Genomic DNA, 21,972 nt, shown 5'->3' with positions numbered 1-21,972 from the left:
CCAGAAATGGAACCTAGGCTGTGGCTTGCTGGAGCCAGCTTATAATATCTGGAAAGCTGTCTGGAGAAAACTGATTGTGCTCCTCTCTTCCCAGCTCTGCATTCAGTGAGGTCATGCAGGTAGCTTAAAATTGGCCATGGTGGGAGTATTTACACATGGAGATTGGCAAACACTACAAACCAGGGTTCATTCAGTTTTAAACATTGACCAGTGTGCCCCTGGATCTAGGTCTGTGTGATAGCAAAGCCTGGTCATTTTGCACTGCCCTGCTATGTGACTTGGTCAAGGTCACTTGGGTTAGCTAGCAGATGGCAGAATTGAGACTTGAACCCAGACCTGTGATCCACATCTGGCTTAACACAGACCCCAAGGAATTGCTGAAAAAAGAAGCAAAATATTTTTTCCTAAGATCTTATGCCCAGTGGCCCAGGTTGGTATAAACAAAGTCTCACATTTTTCCATCCTGTAGTTCTGAACTACCAATTTTCTGCCTCGGCCTCCCAGGCAATCCATCTCCAGCATGTTTGCTTTTTTAAGCAGCTTTCCTGAAGACCTGGCTCTCTGAACTATGTTAATGAAGTCTATTTTTAAAAGCAACCAATTTTCTCTGGGTTTATGGTTTCGGAACAATATTTATTATTGAATGAAATGAAGTCTCTTAGATGCGTTTTCCCTTCCTCAAAATGGAAGACTTACACTTGGGCTGTTCATTAAAAGAAGTCCTACAGGTTTTATCTTTAAACAAATTTCATTTTCCAGCCAGTCGAATTTATGATAGAGATTAAATAGCAACACAGCTGTGCCACATTATTTTTAAAATACCTTAAATTTTATCGTGTAACACTGCATTTAAAGGAGTGTGTGTATGCAGACTAGACAAATCTGAAATGCTAAGTAGCTAATGAAGGAGAAATTGCCATGTCACACCACATAGTCAAAGTACAGATATGAACACATCTACCTGAAATTCCCTCCACATATTTGATGTTTAATTTGGATTGCTATTATACTACACCAAACAGGATTTATTTGCTCACAGTTGAGACTGGAAACATGCTTTCTTTAGGTGGCAGGGGAGAAGTATTATCTTCAGCTGCATCACAATAAATTTCACAGGGTGCCTCCTTGTGTAACTGAAAAAGAGAAACTTTAATCTGTGTTGACTCTTTCACAAACAACATGTATGTGTTTCTTTTACCCAGAAGAGGAAGTGGAGAATAATTTCATAGTTGGTGTTAGCCAAAAATTACTTTACACTTTCATCTTCAATTAAATATGGTATTACAAACACAAATCACAAATAATTCCCAATTGAAATAGAAAGTAACTCAAATAAAAATGAATATTCAAGAGCTAGATGACAAATCTCATCAAGGCAGCATGAGACGAAGCAGGTCTTGACAAAATTGGGCTCATGCTATTAGGCTCATATGTATGTGTTGAATGATCAACTAATTTATCGTGGAAGTTGTATCAAAGGGCAACCTAGGTGTGTGTATCTCTGTATCAGTCAATATAATAATGACAGTAACTACACTCTTATGTGACATGACCTGTAATTGAGCATTCTAGGTAAATGCATATTTTGACTAGCTGAAAGTGTCATTTGTATAAACAAAGGATTACAAATGCACACAGAAATAGAATATCAGAGATCCTCAGCCTGGCTTGTGCAAGGAGTGTTAAGTCATACCTGATTTTCACACAGGGTAAAAAAATGAGGTGCTTATTTCTAACCAAGAAACAGATGCCTAACTTGTTCTTTTAAATAGAAATGACCACAAACATTTTAATCAACTGTAAATGATATACTTGTATACTGTGCAACTTAAAACCTTCTAAAGTGAATGTATGTCACTTGAGCCATGCAGTATAGAAATCAATCATATACATTGTCTGATTATTTAACTGAAAATCCCCAGATAAGAGCATTCGTAGGACAACAGAGAAGCCATGAAACTCTAAGGAAACATGAAACACCTCAAGTCCACTCACCCCAGAAGTGAGGTTATGACTTGAGTGGCAGTTGGAGGAATTCCAAGAAAGGCTAAGCTTTAGTGGGAAAACAGAGAGACCCACAAAGGGAGGTACCTGTTGTGGGGGACACCAGAACCAGGGGTCCCTTTCAGAAGCAGCTGAGTGATCTGATTAATTAATTCACACTGAGGAGTTACAGATGACCATGAATTACTACATTATTGAGTGTAGCTAGCATATTTAAATTTTCTTAGACGTGATCCAGTATCTTGGCTTCCATTTGGACCATTTAAAGGGTGGGATGATCCCCATGCCTTTCTTTGAACATCTTTCCAACATTGCTTTCTTCTAGATTAGCAATATCCAATAAAAATACAATGTAAGCCATATATATAAATTACATTTTGAGTCCTTGGCAAATGTCCGTCTACCCTAGCTTACCTTCATTTCCTTACACACCTTTACTATGGCCTAGTTATTAGTATGACTATAAATCTCTAATACATTTCACACTGTATAGAAACAATCTGTACTTGTCAGTCAGATATAGTCCTTTCCTCCTCCAAAAAGTCCCCGAAATGCAATTTTACCAAGCCTTCTCTGAAAACGAATAGTTCTCTGTTTCACTGATATCCAGAGACAAACAAAACACTACATTCAAAACCTGACTTTATTTAATGAACTTTTATCTTGTTTTCTCTGGCCATTTTTCTTACCTAATCTGCTAGCTTTCTTGCCATTTAAAAATGTTCATCCCAGGACATATAGATAAGCAAATATGAAGTACATTAAATTTAATATTTTTCCTTAACCTTCATGGTAACTTGAAATGGACTATATCTTTCTGCAGCAATAGGAGCAATATAGCTATATGATTTTTAAAAATTATTTATTTATTTTTTAAAATTATAAAATACACATAAAACTTACCATTTTAACCATGTTTATGTGTTAAAAATGTTCAGTGGCATTAAGTACATTCACATTGTTGTGCAACTGTCCCCACCACCCATTCACAGAAATCTTTTCATCTTGCACAACTGAAACTCTGTATTCCTTAAACAGTAACTCCCCATTCTTCCATCCCTCTGTCCCTGGCAAGCACGATTTCACTGTCTGTCTCAATAAATTTGACTACTCTGGGTAATTTATATAAGTAGAATCATACAATATTTGTGGTTTTGTGACTAGCTAATTTCATAACATCAAATTTCATCCATGTTGTAGTATGTGCCAGAATTTCCTTCCTTTTTAAGACTGATTCAATTGTATGTATATATTGCATTTTATTTATCCATTCATGCAACAATGGGCACTTGAGTTGCTTCCACCTCTTGACTATTTTGAATTATGCTGCTGTGAACATGGGTGTACAAATATATCTCTTCAGACCCTGCTTTCCATTTTTTTGGTATATACCCCAGAAATAGAATTGCTGGATCATGTGGTACTTTACAAGGTTTTAACTTAGGCAGAAAGAACAAGTAAATTTGTAAGACTCTCCAGATTTCATCATTATTTACTTGTTGGTGTATTTTTTGTTGTTGCTGTTGTTTTTTACTCTGTCGCTTTCTTCTGGATCAGCAATATCCAATAAAAATACAATGTAAGCCATATATATAAATTACATTTTGAAAAGCTGCATTTCAAAAAGCAAAATGCAATAGGGGAAATTAATTTAATGATATATTATTTAAGCCAGGATATTGAAAGTATTATTGCAGCATGCTATCAATATAAGAAATTATTCATTAGATGCTAGAAATGATAGATAGGCTGAACATGTGTATTATAATAGAAAATAGTAGATTACATGATGCAATCATTGAAGAAAAATGTAGTCTATGGAAACAATAAAGTTATGGTTAATGAAAAAAACACTTTACACTACTTCAGATTTTAAAGTAACATTTTAATTAATTAAAATTAAAAATTCAGTTTCTGAGTTGTGCTAGTCACATAGCAAGTTCTCAACAGCCACATGTGGCCAGCAGCTACCATAGTGGACACTGCAGAACTGAAGCCCTTGCTGGAAGTTCTTTTTTTTTTGAAACTGAGTCTAGCTCTATCACCCAGACTGGAGCATGATCTCAGCTCACTGCAACCTTCACCTCCCGAGTTCAAGTGATTCTCCTGCCTCAGTCTCCCAAGCAGCTGGGATTACAGGCGCATGCCACCACACGCAGCTAATTTTTGTATTTTTAGTACAGACGGGGTTTCACCATGTTGGCCAGGCTGGTCTCAAACTCCTGACTTCAAGTGATCTGCCCACCTCAGCCTCCCAAAATGCTGGGATTACAGGCATGAGCCACTGCACCTGGACAGAAAGTTATCTTCTTTATTTAACCCAATGCAAATGTACAAAATATTTTTTAAAGTAAGACATGAATTCATTTTTAAAATTTACTTTTCTAGTGTTTATCTAAAACATAAGAAAAAACAATTCTTGTCATTTTCATAAGAGAGAGAATAAAAAGAGAGATAATCAATTTTTTAAATATAACCCCATAGCAGAAGTCTTTAAATAACACTTCCCAACATATGTGTATTAGGTCCTGGTTTCACATTAAAGTACCAGTAATGTCCTATTCTTGGTATCCTAATTATAGTTGTAATGTTTGAATTTCAGTGAACTTCTGAAGAAGCATTTAATATACATACTTGGCAGCAATGCTTTCTTATCTGAATGGCTTGAGAATTGGCAGTAGTCAAAGACCTTGAGAGCTTGTAAAAATTTAAAAAAAAAAAAACTTAACTAAATGACCTGAAAGATGGATTTAATCATCTCTTGCTTTTAAATAACGTATAATGATTAGTGGCAAAAATAAGCAAACAGGTGTCTCCAATCAGCTTGCATTGTTTGTCTTTTTTCTTTTGTTTTGCTTTTGAGACAGGGTCTCTCTCTGCACTCAGTTGCTCAGGCTGGAATCCAGTGGCAGAATCACAGCTCACTGCAGCTTAGACCTCTTGGGCTCAGGTAATCCTCCTGCCTCAGCCTCCTGAGTAGCAAGGACACACAAGCGTGTGCCACCACATCCAGCTAAATTTTTTTTATTTTTAGTAAAGACAAGGTCTCACTATGTTGCCCAGGATGGTCTTGAACTCCTGAGCTCCAGTGATGCTCCTGCCTTGGCCTCCGAAAGTGCTGAGATTACAGGCGTGAGCCACCATGCCCAGGCATTTGTTTGTCTTTTCAGAGACCACTGAGTTGTGCCCGGTATAAACACAATAGGATCTAGTTCAGTGTAAGTTAGGCATCATACCCTTTCCACTAGTAAATTATCAAATTCATTATCGTTACTCATGAGAAAATGTCAAAGGAAGATTTCTTTTCTGGGTGAAAAGTAACAGGTTTGGCTATGAAGATGGCAGATATGAGGGACCACTCAGTTCATATTGCTGGAAAAAAATGTAAACGCCAAGGCTAAGATGTGACCAATTTAGATTTTTAAAAACAATTTGACTTCAGAATTTGTATGAGCAATATACTACGTGACACAATAATCAATACTCATTGATGAAGGACCTCTCTAAACGACAGAAAACAAATGTGCCCAATAAGCATGTAGATGTTCTTCCCAGCAGTGGTGTAAGGAGACTTGAAGACAAAATTTAGTTCAGAGCTTTTTCAACCAACAAAAATATAGCAGCTGTTTAGCAACTCCCCACTTCCTCCTCCCTGCAGCCCCTGATAAGTTCTAGAGATCCACTGGACAGCATCATACCTACAGTTCACAATACTGTATCGTACATGTAAAATCTGTTAAAAGGGCAGTTCTCATGTTGCGTTCTTACCATAAAATAAAATTTTAAAAAAAATAGTCTCTTTCTATCTAGCAAGAGTGATTGGCTCATTGCAGGTATAAGCACACTAAAAAGGTAACCAAAATGTCAAAAATCATGTCGTGGCCCAGTCCTTGGTCCCAGGCACTTAGAGATTTAGAATATACTGGTCTTAGGCAGGTAGGAAGTTTTGATGTTGCTTGGCTTTGCCTGAAGTGGGAGAAATATGATCTTAAGAAATGAAGCTTTTCAACTTTTCAGCATGTTTGAAAATTATCTTAACAAAATGTTGGGAAACAAAAACAAAACACAGCACCTGTGCCTCTGTATTTCCTTCTATAGAAACCCTGTAATGTAATTCTAGGTTACGTTATTTAATTCTAGGTTACATTGTATTCCCAGAGGTCTAGTTGGATTGCCACATCAGTTTGTGTCTTCCAGACAGTTTAGACAAGCAAGAGATATTTGTTTCTTTTTTTAATTGTCCATCCTTCTTTCTTTCCTGAACTGGAGATAAAGGAGAGGTGGAAGTCCAGTTATCCTCAGCCTTGAGACTTACCTATGAAGCAGGACTCTTGCTTCTTCCATGTCCCATCGGAAGAGCTGATGCACCTTGCTCTCTTTTCACCAACCTGAATCATCCAGTGTCTGTATTCGGTCTGCATTCATAATATCATACGTACTGTTACACTCGGAAAAAGGGTGTGTACTTTTGAATTTGGCACATGAATATAGATATATATATAGCATTTTATATATTTTTATTTTTTTCCAAATTCATTGAGGTATAATTGACAAAATTATATATATCTAAGGTGTACAATTTGATGTTTTGATATTTGCATACATTGTTAAATAATCACCATTATCACACTAATTAACATATCCATCACCTCACATAATTACCTTTTGCATGTGTGTGTGTTGAGAACACTTATGATCTACCCTCAGCAAATTTTAAATTTTACAATACAGTGTGGTTAACTATAGTCACCATGCTCTACATTGGAGCTCTAGAACTTATTCATCTTGCATAATTATATCTATGAGTTCAACAATTTTAGATTATACGTATAATTGAGATTATGTAGAATTTGTCTTTCTGCCTCTGGCTTATTTTACTGAACATAAAGTCCTCCAAGTCCATCCACGTCATCACAAATGGCAGGATTTTCTTCTTTTTTTGAGGCTATATAATATTCCATTATGTATGCATTATATATAATGCATTATATATTATATGTACACATATATAATACATATACATATATAAAATGTATATATGTGCACACATAAACAATGGAATACACACACAAACACACGTCTCACATTTTCTTTATCCATTTATCTGTTGGTAGACATTTAGATTGTTTCCATATCCTAGCTATTTTGAATAATGCTGCAATTATATAAGAAATGCATACAACTTCATAGCAAAAAATAACAACAAAAACCATGATTTAAAAATGGACAAAGACCCTGAATAAACACTGCTCAAAAGAATGCATACAAATGGCCAATAGGTATATGAAAATATATTCAACACCACTAATCATCAGGGAAATGCAAATCAAAACCACAATGACATATTAGCTCACACTTATCAGAATGGCTATCATCAAAAAGAGAAAAGAAAACAAGTGTTGGCAAGGATGTGGAGAAAAGGGAATCCTAATACACTGTTGGTGATAATGTAAATTAGTACATCCATTGTAGAAAACCATATGGAAATTCCTCAAAAAATTAAAAATAGAGCTACTTTATCATCCAGCCATCCCATTTCTGGGTATGTAGAGCCAAAAGAATTGAATTCAGCATCTCAAAGAGATATATTAAACTATTTTTCTCTAATTTTAAATAACCTGCTTCAGTAGGCCTGTATTTTTCTATTTTAAGAAAAAAAGCTTTCAACTTTTTCCACTTTCAATTTTTTAGTTAAAAAAGAACACACACATTCATCAGTCTATGGTAATTATCCCATCAGAAGAGATAAAATTAAATTCTGAGGAGTTGTAGACAGGCATCACATTAGCCAGAATGGGAGAGGAAGACTTCTCTGAGGAGGAGGCATTTGAGCTAAATCCTGAGTGATATGAAGGAACCAGCCTTGAGCAGATCTGAGAGAAGAGTGCAAAGGCCCTGAGGCAGGGCAAGCTTGGTGGGTTGAGGAAGAAGAAAGAAAGTTGACATGGCTGGAGCATGGTGAGCAAAGGTGAACGTGTGGCAGCATGCAGCTTACATGGGGCCTTATAGACTGTGGGAAGCAGTTTGGATTTTATTATAATTGCATTGAGAAAAAAATAAACACTGGACAATTTTAAGCCAGGTAATGAAATTTTTTTTAAGCTCTCTGACACAGGTGGGATTTTAGGAAAAAAGTGGAGATAGGGAGCCCATTTAAGAAAGCTGTTAAAGTAAACCAGGAGAAAAATGAAGTGGCCGAGACCAAGGTGGTTTCAGTAGAAATAATGAGATGCTGTCAGATTTAGGAAGGATTTTAGAAGTAAAACTGACAGCACATGCTGATAGAGTGGATGTGGAAGGATACGAAAACAGAGATAAAGGATGACTCCAGATTTAAGCTGAGAACAAGCTGGTGAATAATACTATTAGCTGAGATACAGCAGACACAAGAGGATCCATTTGGGGGGCTGAGGATAAAAGGAGATTTCTATTTTATTTATCTTAAATTTGAAATGACTGTTAGCTACCAAAGCAATGATGCTTCTTGGATATCTACTGCAATTATCTAGGTTAGAAACAGGGAAGCAGCAGTGCGGATGGGGGAGTGGGTGGATTTGAGAAATGTTTGAAGAAGGAATGAACAGGACTTGGTTATCGATGACATGTAAGTAATGGAGGAATGCAAGAGGAATTCCAAGGCCCCTGATTTGAGTGACTGAGTGCCACATTCCCTGAGAGGCGGCACAGGAGCCGGAGCATGTTTGGAAGGGAAGAGGAGGACTTCATATTTAGATAGGCTCTGTTTTGGTGCTCGTGGAAAACCTGAGGCCATGTGCTCTGGGCACATTCTTATTTGAGCTCAGGTAAGAAATACAGTTCAGAAATTTAGGAGTCACCAGTGCTAATATAGTTGTCATTAGAGCCAACAAAATGAATGAGATTACCCAGAAAAGGCCCATAGCATAAAAAACAAAAAGAGACTTTATTTCAGATCAAAAGAAAAAGCTTGATGTGTGTCATGCTGGTGAGCAAAGCAATCTTGAAAATGAGAAAAAGAGAAGGGAGGGAATGACGCAAACATCCTTCCAAATCAGATGCATCATTTTATCAGAAGTAGCTCCTCTTCAGCCAGGACCTGCAACTAGGAAATATTGGACATAAGGGCAAGTCTCACATCCAAAGAGCAAAACCTGCAACCACAGAGCAGGATGATAAAGAACTCAGAAACTGAGACGTTGATCTTGAACTGCGTGTATGAAAGGGGTGGGGTAAAGGACAGACCACTGTATATCCAGGTGATTATTTGGGTTGGGTGATTGTCTACCAGACAGTTGAGGACAGCAGATGACAAACTGGAAGTAATAGGTACAAACCACGGTGACAGGAACTGATAGCAAGGGTGCTGGGCTATTCAAAGAAACCTCATTCTGACTCCAAGATTAGTGAACACTCACTGCCCAACAGCTGCCTTTCTGGAATAATACAAGGTCTGTGTCTGGGAGGAATTCTGGAGATTGCTTGGTGCTAATTTTTAATTTTACAAATGAATTGAATAAAGCCCTGGGAACACCTGCTTTCAGGTAAAGTGTGTGATGATAGTGGAGGCATTCCTGTTGTACCCTGATACTGTTTATGGAGCTATTTTCAAAGGATATGAAACTAATTTTAAATATGCCTCTGGTATGTTGCAAAGCTGTATCTACTTCTGGCGGAAGTCAAGTGTAAAGGGTAAGAGTGCAGGCTCTCGTTTCAAACTACCCAAACTAGAATCCTTGCTTGTCCCTTATGAGTCCTATGACCTTCACCTTTCTCACCTTATATGTAAAATGGAGATAATAATCTTTTTATCTCATAGAGTTTTAATAAGGATTAAGTGAGATAATATCTGCCAAGCCCTTGCCTAATGTCTACCTGGTGGTATGCTCACAATACATTTTAGCAATTTTTTTGTTGCTTTTGGTAATCACCTAATATCACTTGGCTCTGTCTTTTAGCAGCTCAGTAGAAACCATTAGTAACAAACCCTGAGGTGCGTTGTTCTGGCACAGGGTGTGCATAAAACAAATGTTTGTTGAGCAAGTGACAAAAGAAGGAAGAAAAGAAGGAAGAGAGGGAAGGACGGAGGCTGTACTGTTCAAAGACCTTTCTTCATTATCTGGCCCACATTCTGAAATGTGGAAATGTATCGGGTATTTTTATTAGTAGTATTACTCTTTTTCTGATCTATGAAATATGCAGTCAGCACTTTTGTCAGAGTAGAGGAAAGATCAAGAAGGAAGGTGTATGTCTCTGTGTGTTTTGAGCCCAGAGACACTGTCAGGGGTTTGCTCTTGTTTCTACTGCTAAACTCCATCTCTGGACCTCTAAGGCTTCACATACGGGGTGTTTCTGTGTGCCAGTCACAGGCTACAGAGCACAGAGACAAAGAGCCTTCCCTTAAGGAGCTTGCAAATGCTAGAGACCAGTGGCACAAAAGGATTTTTAGAGCAACAGAAGCTTTGATAGATCGTGTGGTGTAAAGGTTAGAAGCACAAACTCTATGGCCCGACCACCAAGATTTGGGTCCAGCACTTGGCAAATCTGTGACCTAGACAAGTTATTAACCTCTCTGAGCCACATTTGCTCCTCTAAAGTAGGGACAGTGATGATGCATGCGTGGTAAGGTTAAGAGCAGATGAGTTCATGTATATATAAAGGGCTTGGCCTGGCATGCTGCTCATGCCTGTGCCGTTGCCTTCCTCCCAACGAGCAATGCCTGCTGTAGTTCAGAGGATGGCCACTCTGAAACTGAGAGAAGAAACCATCTTAGATCTTGAAGAATCTATATGAATTTTTCAAACAGAAGGATGAGGGCTGTTTCAAGCTTGGGATTAGAAGTGGCCTATTCAGGGGACTTTCAGAATTTGTAGAGAATTCTGAGTTACACAGGGAAGCAGAGATTGTATTTAATGCAGTTATACTGGATCCTGTAACAGTGAAAGGAAAAAGCAAGGTTTTTGGAGAGGAGTGTAGCATAGGAAAAACAATTTTTAAAACAATTCATTGGATAAATTAAGATGAAAATGGATGCTGAAGCCAGGGATACCAGCTTGCAGACAGTTGTAATTTGATGTGCTAAGGACCTTGGCCAGAATGCTGCAGCGCTGAAAAGCTAAAAAGAATGATTATGAGATATAGAAAGAAAGGATCAAAAGGTGGCTGGAAGCAAGTGTTGGGGAGAGGAGATGGTGGGGGGATATGTCAAAGCTGCATGCCGGAATGGCAGGAAGAAGTGTCCATATAATAGACACTTGTGCAAGTTCAGAGGGGTGGGTGGTTTGGGGACCAGGATTACAAGTTTCATTCAAGTCCAGCTGCACTTGAGGCAACAATGGGACACTGATGTGGAAGCTAGAATTTGAAGAAGCAGAATTGAAGTTCAGGAGAGGTCAAAGCGAAGATTGCATAAATATTTGGAACTGAATCAAGTATAGGTGAGAGTGAAATAATTGAGAGAGAGAAATAGTATGGCAAGATTAAGGCAGGCTACCATGCCAGCCAGTAAGCCCACCATACTTGGGAAACTGTTGTGAGAATTACATGAAGTAACACATATGAGAACACTTATGGGATGGGGGTGGGGTGGACTATTAAATACAATATAAACAGGAAAATCTTGATGATTGCATGATAATGAAGAGCTTGTTTGTTTGTTTTTGCCCTATTTCCTAGAATCTCAAGGCTGAAGTGGACATTAAAGCATTGTATAGGTGAAGGTGAGGGAATGAGGGCTCAGAGAAGCTGAATGAATGGGTTTCCCATGAGATCGCTGAAGAATCAGGCCTGGGATCAGGCCCTCCACCCCTTTTCAGTGCTATTCTCACTTTAGAGGCTGCCTCTTGAGCTAGTCCTGTCTCTCAGACACTCCCCGAATATGATTCGATTTTCACTCTATTTTACACAAAGCGTGCTCTAAAGTGCTGGATTCTCCTGCACAGGGGGTCTGGCACATGGACAAGCACACCCGGCAGCCGGCAGTGCACAGGAAGCTGCCTCCGCACAGGCAAGGCTTTATGCAGGGCATCCTGAAAAGAAGCACTTATTTCAGACACTGATCTTGCATCTCGCCGTCTTTTAAGCTTGTGTTTCCTTTTAATTAACTAATTTTACAATCTTTAAATCATGAAACAAGCCATCTACTCATATACTCTTTACTTGTTTACTCATGTTAATCAAATAATTAATCCATGGCTTGTAATCTCCTTCCAAAAAGATATTTAAGCTGAATTCTATTTTATAAAAAGAAAGTTTTCAATCTCAACCACATCATGGCAATAATTACTTTTATAACCAGATCGGTTAAAAACTAAACAGCTATTTTTCAAAGTCCATAAAAGTGATGACCCATGTACAAACATTTTGAACAATTTAACATAATTTTATTGAAGGGATAGCCATTTGAGAGCTTGACCTTTTTATGAATTCCTTGTGAAGTCATAGAAATCTGAGTACCTTTCAAATTTTCTTCTTGAAGGAAATAACTTGGGAAGTGCCAAGGAAATTAACGGAGAAAGCATTTAACATAAACTGAAATCATTAATACCTAATGGGAAAACATAATATTCTATTCTCAGGCATTTTAAAACAGCTACTACAAAATCCTTTCTAGGGGACTAGGAAGTTCTTCAAAACTGGTGCTTAAATAGTATTACCTAAAGAAGGACTTGATGGAAATAGAACATATGAAACCCAAAGATTAGAAAAAGGTGGATGATGAGATTCAAATTACAATCAGCCCTTCATGTATGTCGGTTTCTGCATCCATGGATACCATCATACGTGGATTTAAAATATTTGGGGGAAAAAACATGGTTGCGTCTGTACTCAATAACTGCAGACTCTTTTTTCTTGTCATTTCCTAAACAATACCATATCACAACTATGAACATAGCATTTATATTGTATTAGGTGTTATAAATACTCCAGAGATGATTTAAAGTATATGGGAGAATGTGCATAGGTGATATGCACATGATATATATCAAGGACTTGAGTATTCACAGATTTTGGTGTTTGCAGGGTGCCCCAGAACCAATCTGCCACAGATACCAAGAGACAACTGTACTTCATTTGAAGTACAGTTGCTATTTTTGGTCACAAATTTCCTTAAGCTTTATCCCACCCTTGGTTCCTTGGTTCCCCATGGGACCATTGCATCATGGGTTCTTCTGTGTTGTTACTGTTTGCTGGAGAGACGCGATGCCCTTTCAAGATTTCCTCAATTTTAGAGTTAGAAAAACCAGTTCTATTAGCAAAATTTGTATGCTAAAACCCTTTTGTTTTGAACCAGTGAGGTACAAAGTCAAGAAATACATGGGTTAACTCAAGGAAAACAGAATCAGAGTGCTCTTCTTTTGCAAGAATTGTCTTTTTTCTAAAACTATTTAATCACTTTGTGGTTTCTTCTATCTTCTTTTGCTCTGTTCTCCTGCTGACCAGGAGAACTGTCTTGAGCCCCCTTTCTGGTCTGCAGCAGCACACCCAACCCACCACAATCATCCCTGTCCTAACGCATAATGGGAGGGAGCAAAAGAATTCTAGACTTGGAGGCCAAATTCAGGCGTCAAATTCTAGTTCCACCACTAGTTTTGCAATCTTGGATAGGATACCTAAACTCATGCTCTTCCTCCTTGTCCTTCCATTTTAAACGTTTTAATAATTTTATCAAAGTAATGAATTTTATCAAATGCATACATAGTTAAAGTATAAAATACAATAGAAGTTACTTTTACTGGCCAGGCACAGTGGCTCGCGCCTGTAATCCCAGCACTTTGGGAGGCTGAGACGGGCGGATCACGAGGTCAGGAGATTGAGACCATCCTGGCTAACATGGTGAAACCACCTCTGTACTAAAAATACAAAAAAAGTAGCCGGGCCTGGTGGTGGGCGCCTGTAGTCCCAGCTACTCAGGAGGCTGAGGCAGGAGAACGGCGTGAACCCGGAAGGCAGAGCTTGCCGTGAGCCGAGATCGTGCTACTGCACTCCAGCCTGGGCGACTGAGCGAGACTCCATCTCAAAAAAAAAAAGAAGTTACTTTTACTGGCCTCCTAAGTGATTTGCCTGATTAAGCAACTCTGTCCGTTCTCTCATTATATCCTATCGACTGATGTTCACAGCCACCTCAGTACCGGATGCCCTCTAGCCCGCCTGTAAACTCCTGATCCCTCCTGTGGAGATGTATGTGGACCAAGCGTCAGTGGTGTTTGTACCCAGATGTGCTGTGCCAGTTTTGCTAGTTCATATAATTATTCAATGATAATTATGTAAACCAATGATATATGGGTGTGTAGAAGAGAACTGCTATTTCTATTAAAATGTTTTGTAAAGACTCAATAAAATTGAGTTACTAAAAATAAAAGGCTATATAGGCCGAGCATGGTGGCTCACATCTGTAATCCCAGCACTTTGGGAGGCTGAGGCAGGCAGATCACAAGGTCAAGAGTTTGAGACTAGCCTGACCAACATGGTGAAAATCCATCTCCACTAAAAATACAAAAATTAGCTGGGCATGGTGGCACATGCCTGTAATCCCAGCTACTCAGGAGGCTGAGGCAGGAGAATCGCTTGAACCCAGGAGGCAGAGGTTGCAGTGGGAGGAGGTTGCAGTGAGCCGAGATCGCGCCACTGCATTCCTGCTTGGGCAACAGAGCAAGACTCTGTCTCAAAAAAATACAAAATAAAATAAAATAAAGGCTATAGAATTATATGTGAGCTAGATAGTGGTAAAATATTGGGGAAAAACTTAAATCTAAAAGGATTCTGCTTTGTGCCTTTTTCAATCTACTTTAATGAAACAGAAACTGAGAAATATACATGATGATTATGGGTGTAGTTTATGTAAGAAAATGCAGAACTGGAAATATGTGGCTATATTCTATATGCAGAAATCCTGGTAGTATTTCCATGGGATTCTTATGATACTAAATTAGATAAGGTTCACATAACGCACTCAGCAGCATGTCTGATATTTAATAAGCATTCAATCCATGTTAGCTGTTATTGTGGTTATTATTCATTTAATAATGGCGCATCCAGGCGATTTTAAAAGAAAAGATAAAACAAAAGGCAAGGTGAGACCAAATCAATCTTTCAAAAGAAAATATTGGGATAAACTTTTAAACCCAGCAACCAAAGGACCTAAACTTCACTGTGATTATTTTTTTCTTTGCATCCAAATATCTGTGTGTAAAATTAAGAGGATATTGATGATCAAATATCTACAAAGTTTAGCTGGAAAAACAAATCCTGATTCATTATTGAAAATAAAGCCTTGGCATTCCAAATGTAACCCTATTTCAACTTTAACAACAAACTGCCACATAGCCTTAGGAAGCTCTCTAACCTTTTCCTATCCTTGTATTCTCAGTTAGATAAGGATGATGACAAACAACTAAATTAATTTATCACATGGCCAGAAGAATTATTTTGAATTCTTTGAGAAAAGTACACCATGGTTGTATTTGTGTTCTCTCACTTGAGTGTGAGCTCTACCTGGCTCAGTGCTGTGTGAAGCTCTCCAACCCTCAGGATAAGGATCAGTGAAATGCTAATTTTTAAAAAAATTAAATTTTCATCAAAGCTCTAGACCTATTCACTTATTATGATGTTTATGCCAAGTTTCAAGAGGTAAAACATGCTTCACCACAAAAAACGATGATCAGAATAAGTTATGGAATGAAAGGCAAAGATCCTATTTTATTTGATTATCTAAATTAAGTCTTAATTCTTTTTCAATCTTCTAAACACAATATAAGAACAGATATACTGGATGTGAGGTTTAAACTCATTAATTTTAGTGGCTCTGGCCAAACCCAATTAATTTCTGTTTGTGAAGCAATCCCCATTGTTGGGGTTTCAAGTTATTTTCACAGTTAACCATGGAAGAATATGCATAGCTATTCAGTACATGATCTTGTAGCTAGTCAGTCAGTCTATATTGATTGTATGGACTGAGCCCAACATCCTACATATTTATTATGTACAAATATACAGAAAAATAACAATGATTTAAAAGATATAGTTAAAGCCTTTAAAGAGCTATATACTATATTACTATTATTGAGATGTGGGAGAGGATACTTTTCCTTAGGAGACAATTCAAAAGATAAAAAATAAATTGTATTTATTTCCCTATCATTTAATCGATGCTTACAGAAATAGCTCTTTCAGAAATTTAGGTTAATTCAATATATATGCATAAGACTAAACTAGGTTCAGAGAAGTTAAAAAGAGGAACCAGACTGGATCATCCCAGTGTTCAATAAGTTTACTATAGTGGGGGAGAACGGCATTTATCTAACTAGTATACTTCCATCCATGATGTGTGGAGGGACAAACTAGACCAGGGAAGAATTACCAATACCTGAGTGTACTCTCATTGTAATGCCCTAATATCAGGTCTCCAGACATCCTTAAGAAATTGCCAGATTTGCACAACCTTCATATTTGAGCCATCATGGAGATGGAGGAAAGAGCCTATCATGTCCACATTTTTTAAGGAAATGACTTGATTGTTATAAGTCAGATAGCTTAAAAGCAATATTTGATGAGAACAATCTCTCATACAATCAATAAGCAACTTACCAGAATATTGTAGGATATAAAGAAGCAGATTTTTTGAATAACCAGTTTTTCCACACCAATTTAACTTCCTTCCTTGATTCAGTGACAGCCTGCATAAATAATGATAATATGCTAGAAATAATCAATTTTGTGTGGAGGAAGATTTTGTTCTAGTCTAAACAATATTCTTATCACTAAGCCATGATAGTGTGACCTTAATCATGCTACCATTACCTGGGTGAACAGGTAAATATAGAGTTGCAATTACAATAAATTGGGTGGGAGCAATGCATTACATATCCAGGTCCAGCCCCTGGGGATCAGTTGTACTGAAGGACCTGTGACTTACTGATGAGCTATATGACTCATAAATACCTGCCTCCAAAATGCAGATATTACTAAATCAAGTAGAATGGCCAGTACCTTACACCAGGAAGTTCATAACAAGACAATTAAAAATGCCCTTGGATATATGCTTTAAATCATTCTAAAAACAGAATAGCATATCATTGATGCAAGTGTAAACTGGTATTTTTTGGCACACGTGAAATTTGCTAAAAAATAACTTAAAAGACAAGTACCAATAAGATTTTTATCTCAATTAGGGTTAGCAAAGCAATATTATAAATGAGTCACACTGAGACTAGGTGATTTAAATGAGGCAGGCTAGCAGGACAGACAATTAATCCTACCATTGCTTAAGCCACACCATCCTTTAGTACTCATTCAAGTTTTAGTCAACATATGTTGAAAGATATTTTTTAAAAGGCATGCAGAGAGCAAAACATTACCTATATATTTATAAAATACAGAATAGAATATATATTAATATATAATATATGTAAGTGTATTATATAATATATATTTCATTATAGTTATATATTATATAAAATATATGGTATGACATATAGTATATATGTTATAATATGTTGTATTATACATATTATATATATACATATATATATATAATGTTTTAAAGGAAAGAAATGGAACCATGTAACCCAAAAAGCCAAAAACTAAGTAGTCATATAATTACATTCTTACTGCTCTGTAAGATTGTTCTCAGAAGGAACTGAGGCTCTTCTCTCCCCATAGGTGACTAGGCCAGAAGAAATATACTATGTTACAGTAGGCCAACTTCATCTGGCAGAAAGATGCCCTTGGTAATCACCATGAAAAATCACCCGTTCAAGGAAAACCTTAAGATTTCTTTCTTATAGCTGTTTACTACAGAATAAACTTTCATTCGTTCTGGATAATTTAAATATCCGTGGGGTTGCTTGCCTCAGAGCCCTCTTTTTTATCCTAGCTTTCTGTTCATTTACTCTTCCAAGCTTCCCAAACTAAGGCATCCAATAGTGGGTCACTAATAATGCCAGGAGCTGTACATGGCATCTCTATCTCAATTTCACCCAAAGACATCGAGCCCAAGTACTCAATTTTACACAAAGATTTTATTAATAAATGAAAATATTATTGTATATTAGCACATTGATCTGTTATGGGATGGAATGCTGAGAATCAAAGGAAATTGTCTTCCTTGTGATGGTCATTTTCCAATGCTACCCACCCCCCAGTCCCTGGCTCCATTTCCCTGCCATAAAGAGTACAGGCTCAAAGCCCAGGCTTTTCTATACCAAATTTTCATGGTAATGCCAGGTTTCCTAATAAGTGACACCAAGCTTAATCAGGCCAGAAACACAGGGGATGACACATTTTATTTCATGACCCTCTCCCTTCCCATCATTTTCCTTGTTACAAATAAAATATGAGAGGCTTTGAGGCATCTTTGTGTAGAAAGTTTTATAAATGTCTTTGGATGTGATGGTAATATATGAATTTCTTTCCTCTTCTTTTTCAGGATGGGGACCAGTGAAGTACTTGCGGCCTGTACCCAGAATCAGTGAGTAACTTCCTCATAATGTTTGAATCTTGGGTAGTTATAGATAAGCAGAGCAACAACTAGAATATCTGAAAACCTCAGAGTGTGGCTTTTAAGCACCTGTTCTGCTGATGATAGCCATCCCTAGGAAGCACTGCCTAGGTGGCATTTTTGGAGTGCGTAAAGTCTTGGAGGGTGGGGAGAAAAAGCAAGCAAACCACGATCCTTGTCCTCAAGGGATTTACAAAGGAAACTAAAGGCTCTGAAGACTGATTTCAGTTATATATAGGATGGTGTTTTCCTTATATGAAAAAGTTTACATATTTTTCTATTTTTATTTTAAAAGTACTTAACACTTTCCTGGCACATTGCACTGTAGTCTATTGTTTAAAGTGTCTTCCTCTATGAATAGAGTAAAACCTCATTAATTCAGATACTGCTAATACAGAATTCTTGAGAATTTGATCTAGACTAAGCTGAAATTTAGCTTTGAATTTTCTGCAAGGAATGGATTTGCTAAGTGAAATGGAATATTTGTGACCCATGTAAAAAGAATACATTGTTTTCATGGCTTTGGCATACAGTGGTCTTTAGGCAAAAAGATTCAGCTGTAAAATAAAGATTATTAAGATCATGAAGTAGATATCCCCTTAGACTTTATTGGCAGGTAATAGTATTGAAAGTAATAAAACAATGTTGCTTTCAATAAATTCTGACTTCCATAATTCAGGCTAGATCTTCCTCTCCTCCTTTCCAAACTAATTATTCTAATCTAATGAGGTTTGCTATTGTGTAACATGTGGATGGAAGCATTTAGTAATAGAAGATGATCAATTCCTATTATCTTAAAAATTTATAAATATAAATTCTAATTTTGGGATGCATATCTGTAATGTTGATCACCTAGATGACAGTAGTATGTTTACTTTACAAGAAAAAAATGATATATTATTCCATTTTCTTTTTCATGATCTCACATGGCAGGTAACATTTGTTTTCATTTAAAACTCAACATTTTTGCAAAGCAAGCAAGTCAGATTCCTAGGGCAATAGCAAAGATTTGAGGTGAGGGAAAAAGACAAAATCAGACCATGCCCTCCTAGGGGTATATTGAAAAATTGGAATAGTAACTGAGTCACCATGCATCCATTTATTCCTTTATTCATTCAATAAACACTTAGCCAAGGGCCATGCTTATTGCATCAAGGGATGTAGAGATAAATAAAATTCCCTTTTTGTCTTCACTTTACTGGTAGCCCATAAGTTGAGACAGAGATGGAGACAAGTGATTTTCTCATGTGATAAGCAATGTGTTATCCCAAAAAACAAAGTGCTTTGGGAATGCACAGAATACACTGTTAAATCTAACAGGAAGAGTTGGGAGAATATTCAGTAACAGTTATCACGCTTGAACTGATTCTTTAAAGAATGAATGGAATTTCTGCAAGTAGAGAAAGGGAAGGGCAGCATTTCAGGCAGTACAAGCAAAAGCATGGAGACATCAAAGCACATGTATTGCCCAAGTAAAACAACGTAGACTTAGAGTTAGTTGTATAGAGCTGAGGGAATGTGGGAGTAGTGTATGGTCTATACATAAAGGTATATTACCAAGAAAAGATACCCTTTAAGTGGTCGAAAACAATAATTGGAGTTTAGAGAAAGAAAGATTTGAGAGTCTTTTGCATAAAGAGTTGAAATGTGAAGAAATGGAAATGAATAAGATTATTCAAGGGCACAGGAGAGAACTTTTAGGAACACACAATAGAATCAACTTCTTCCTGAGACAGGAGAAAAGGATGAGTGGGGAAAAACTAAGATGAGTTTAAAGATGGATATAAAGAAATTTGAGAGAGTTTATGCCTGAAAGCTCCCATTTTCTTGCCACTATACTGTGAACAAGCATGGGATGTAGAATACGAGGACACAAGTTCGAAACTCAGTTCAGCCACCCATGAACAATGCAACATGGGTAGGTCACATAACCCCTCTAAATTTCCATTTTACCATCTGTGAAATGGAGATAATAATAACATGCAATTCATAGGTCAGAGAACTTCATAACACATGTGGAGGCATTTTATAAACTACAATGCACTTGGCCAGAACACATGCTGGGTGACCTCACTGAGCTCTTGTTTATAAAACAGGGACAAGCTGGGCATAGGGGCATGTGCCTATCATCCCAGCTACTCAGGAGGCTAAAGTAGGGGGATTGCTTGAGGCCAAGAGTTCAAGATTGTAGTGTGTGATGATTATTGTACCTGTAAGCAGCCACTGCAGTCCACTCTGTGCAACACAGTGAGACCCTATCTCTAAAAAATCAAATAAAATAAGGACAACAGCACATAGCTTACACGGGTTACTGAGAGCATTAAAGATATGGTATCCACCATGTGTGCTCTATAGATAGGAACCACTGGGTTACTGTCTTCTGTGAGTAAGAGCTTATCTCTGGGGAAAGAGGAAAAAATTCTGCAATGGGGAAGCAAGACAAGAAAGAGACATGGAAAAATATTTTTGAGCGGAATTAAAAGCCCATCCTGAAAACATGAGTTTGCAGGTACAGCCACACCTGTGTACTCTGGAGCAATCAAAAGGAATGAGTTGATGGTCTGGGGTTGGGGTAGATCAAAGCAGGTATACTAGTGGCTGAGAGCAAGTGCCATTGAGGGGACAATTGGAAACGTTGGCCAGTGCAGATCTCAGAAGTTTAGAGGCCCTGTTCTCCGGCCTCAGCATTAGTTTGACAGAATGGCGCCCTTTCTATTCAGAGTCCGCAGCCTGTGATCCTGTGACTTGTTGTTGTCAAGTAAGTGAGTGGCTTGTGCAAAGGGCTGAGCAGCCAGATGCCTCCAAGGTTATATGCTGTCACCATCAGCTAACCTCCAGCCCTGACGCTACTGCTCAGATTTAGGACAGTGGCCAGCCAGACCCCTGCCTGACCCTCCTACCCTCTCACCTCCCACCCTTGTCTCACATCCCAACTGCAGCCTATTCCCAGCCTCCCCTTTCACTTGAACTTTCATTCTTCCCTAGCACATAAGGTAGTAAAAAAGCTGTCCACCTCCTCTGAAATAGAAAGGTAAAGTTTCAGCTAACTATTAATAAAAAGGAGCCAGACTGCATGCTACCTGCCCCTCACACCTTTAGCACCAAGTCTAAACCTCATTCCAGAATTTGCTGGTTGCAACAGGCAAGATTGCACTTCCTCCCACACTTGGAAGTGAGTTATCTCACCATCCACTAGGAAAATGTTCAGCGTCCTCTTAAAATGTTTAATGAGCCTTGGGGACCCCAAGAGAGAGCTGCCAAGATCTATCTTGATAGTTACTAAACTTACCTCCGAGAGAGATTTGAATTGTTAGAGCTTTCGTCCTCAATTTGCCAAATGGCAGTAATAAAGGAAATATAGGCTATATCTTGCATGTTATTGACTCCTATTTTAATTAATATAAGACACATTCCTCATTTGGGAGCATGGTTGATTCCCTCAGTCAATGGCTATTCATTAAATATATCAAATGCAAGGTGCTAGCTCCTAGTCA

General features: G+C 37.8%; 1 protein-coding gene across 4 annotated transcripts in view; it reads left to right on the top strand.

Moving 5' to 3' along the window:
* The window catches only part of CHST9 (carbohydrate sulfotransferase 9), a 278,828-nt gene that overhangs the window by 142,745 nt on the left and 114,111 nt on the right, over positions 1-21,972 (top strand). For all 4 annotated transcript variants that reach the window (NM_001256316.2, NM_031422.6, NM_001398493.1 and 1 more), the window contains one exon: positions 18,407-18,448. In NM_001256316.2, the coding sequence (NP_001243245.1) occupies positions 18,407-18,448 (42 nt within the window). The remainder of the gene's footprint in view (positions 1-18,406; positions 18,449-21,972) is intronic.

Source organism: Homo sapiens, chromosome 18, assembly GCF_000001405.40.
Source record: "Homo sapiens chromosome 18, GRCh38.p14 Primary Assembly".
In the NCBI taxonomy this organism is placed as follows: Eukaryota; Metazoa; Chordata; class Mammalia; order Primates; family Hominidae; genus Homo; species Homo sapiens.
The sequence above is the reverse complement of the archived record's forward strand: the minus strand, read 5'-3'. Positions and strand labels throughout refer to the sequence as shown.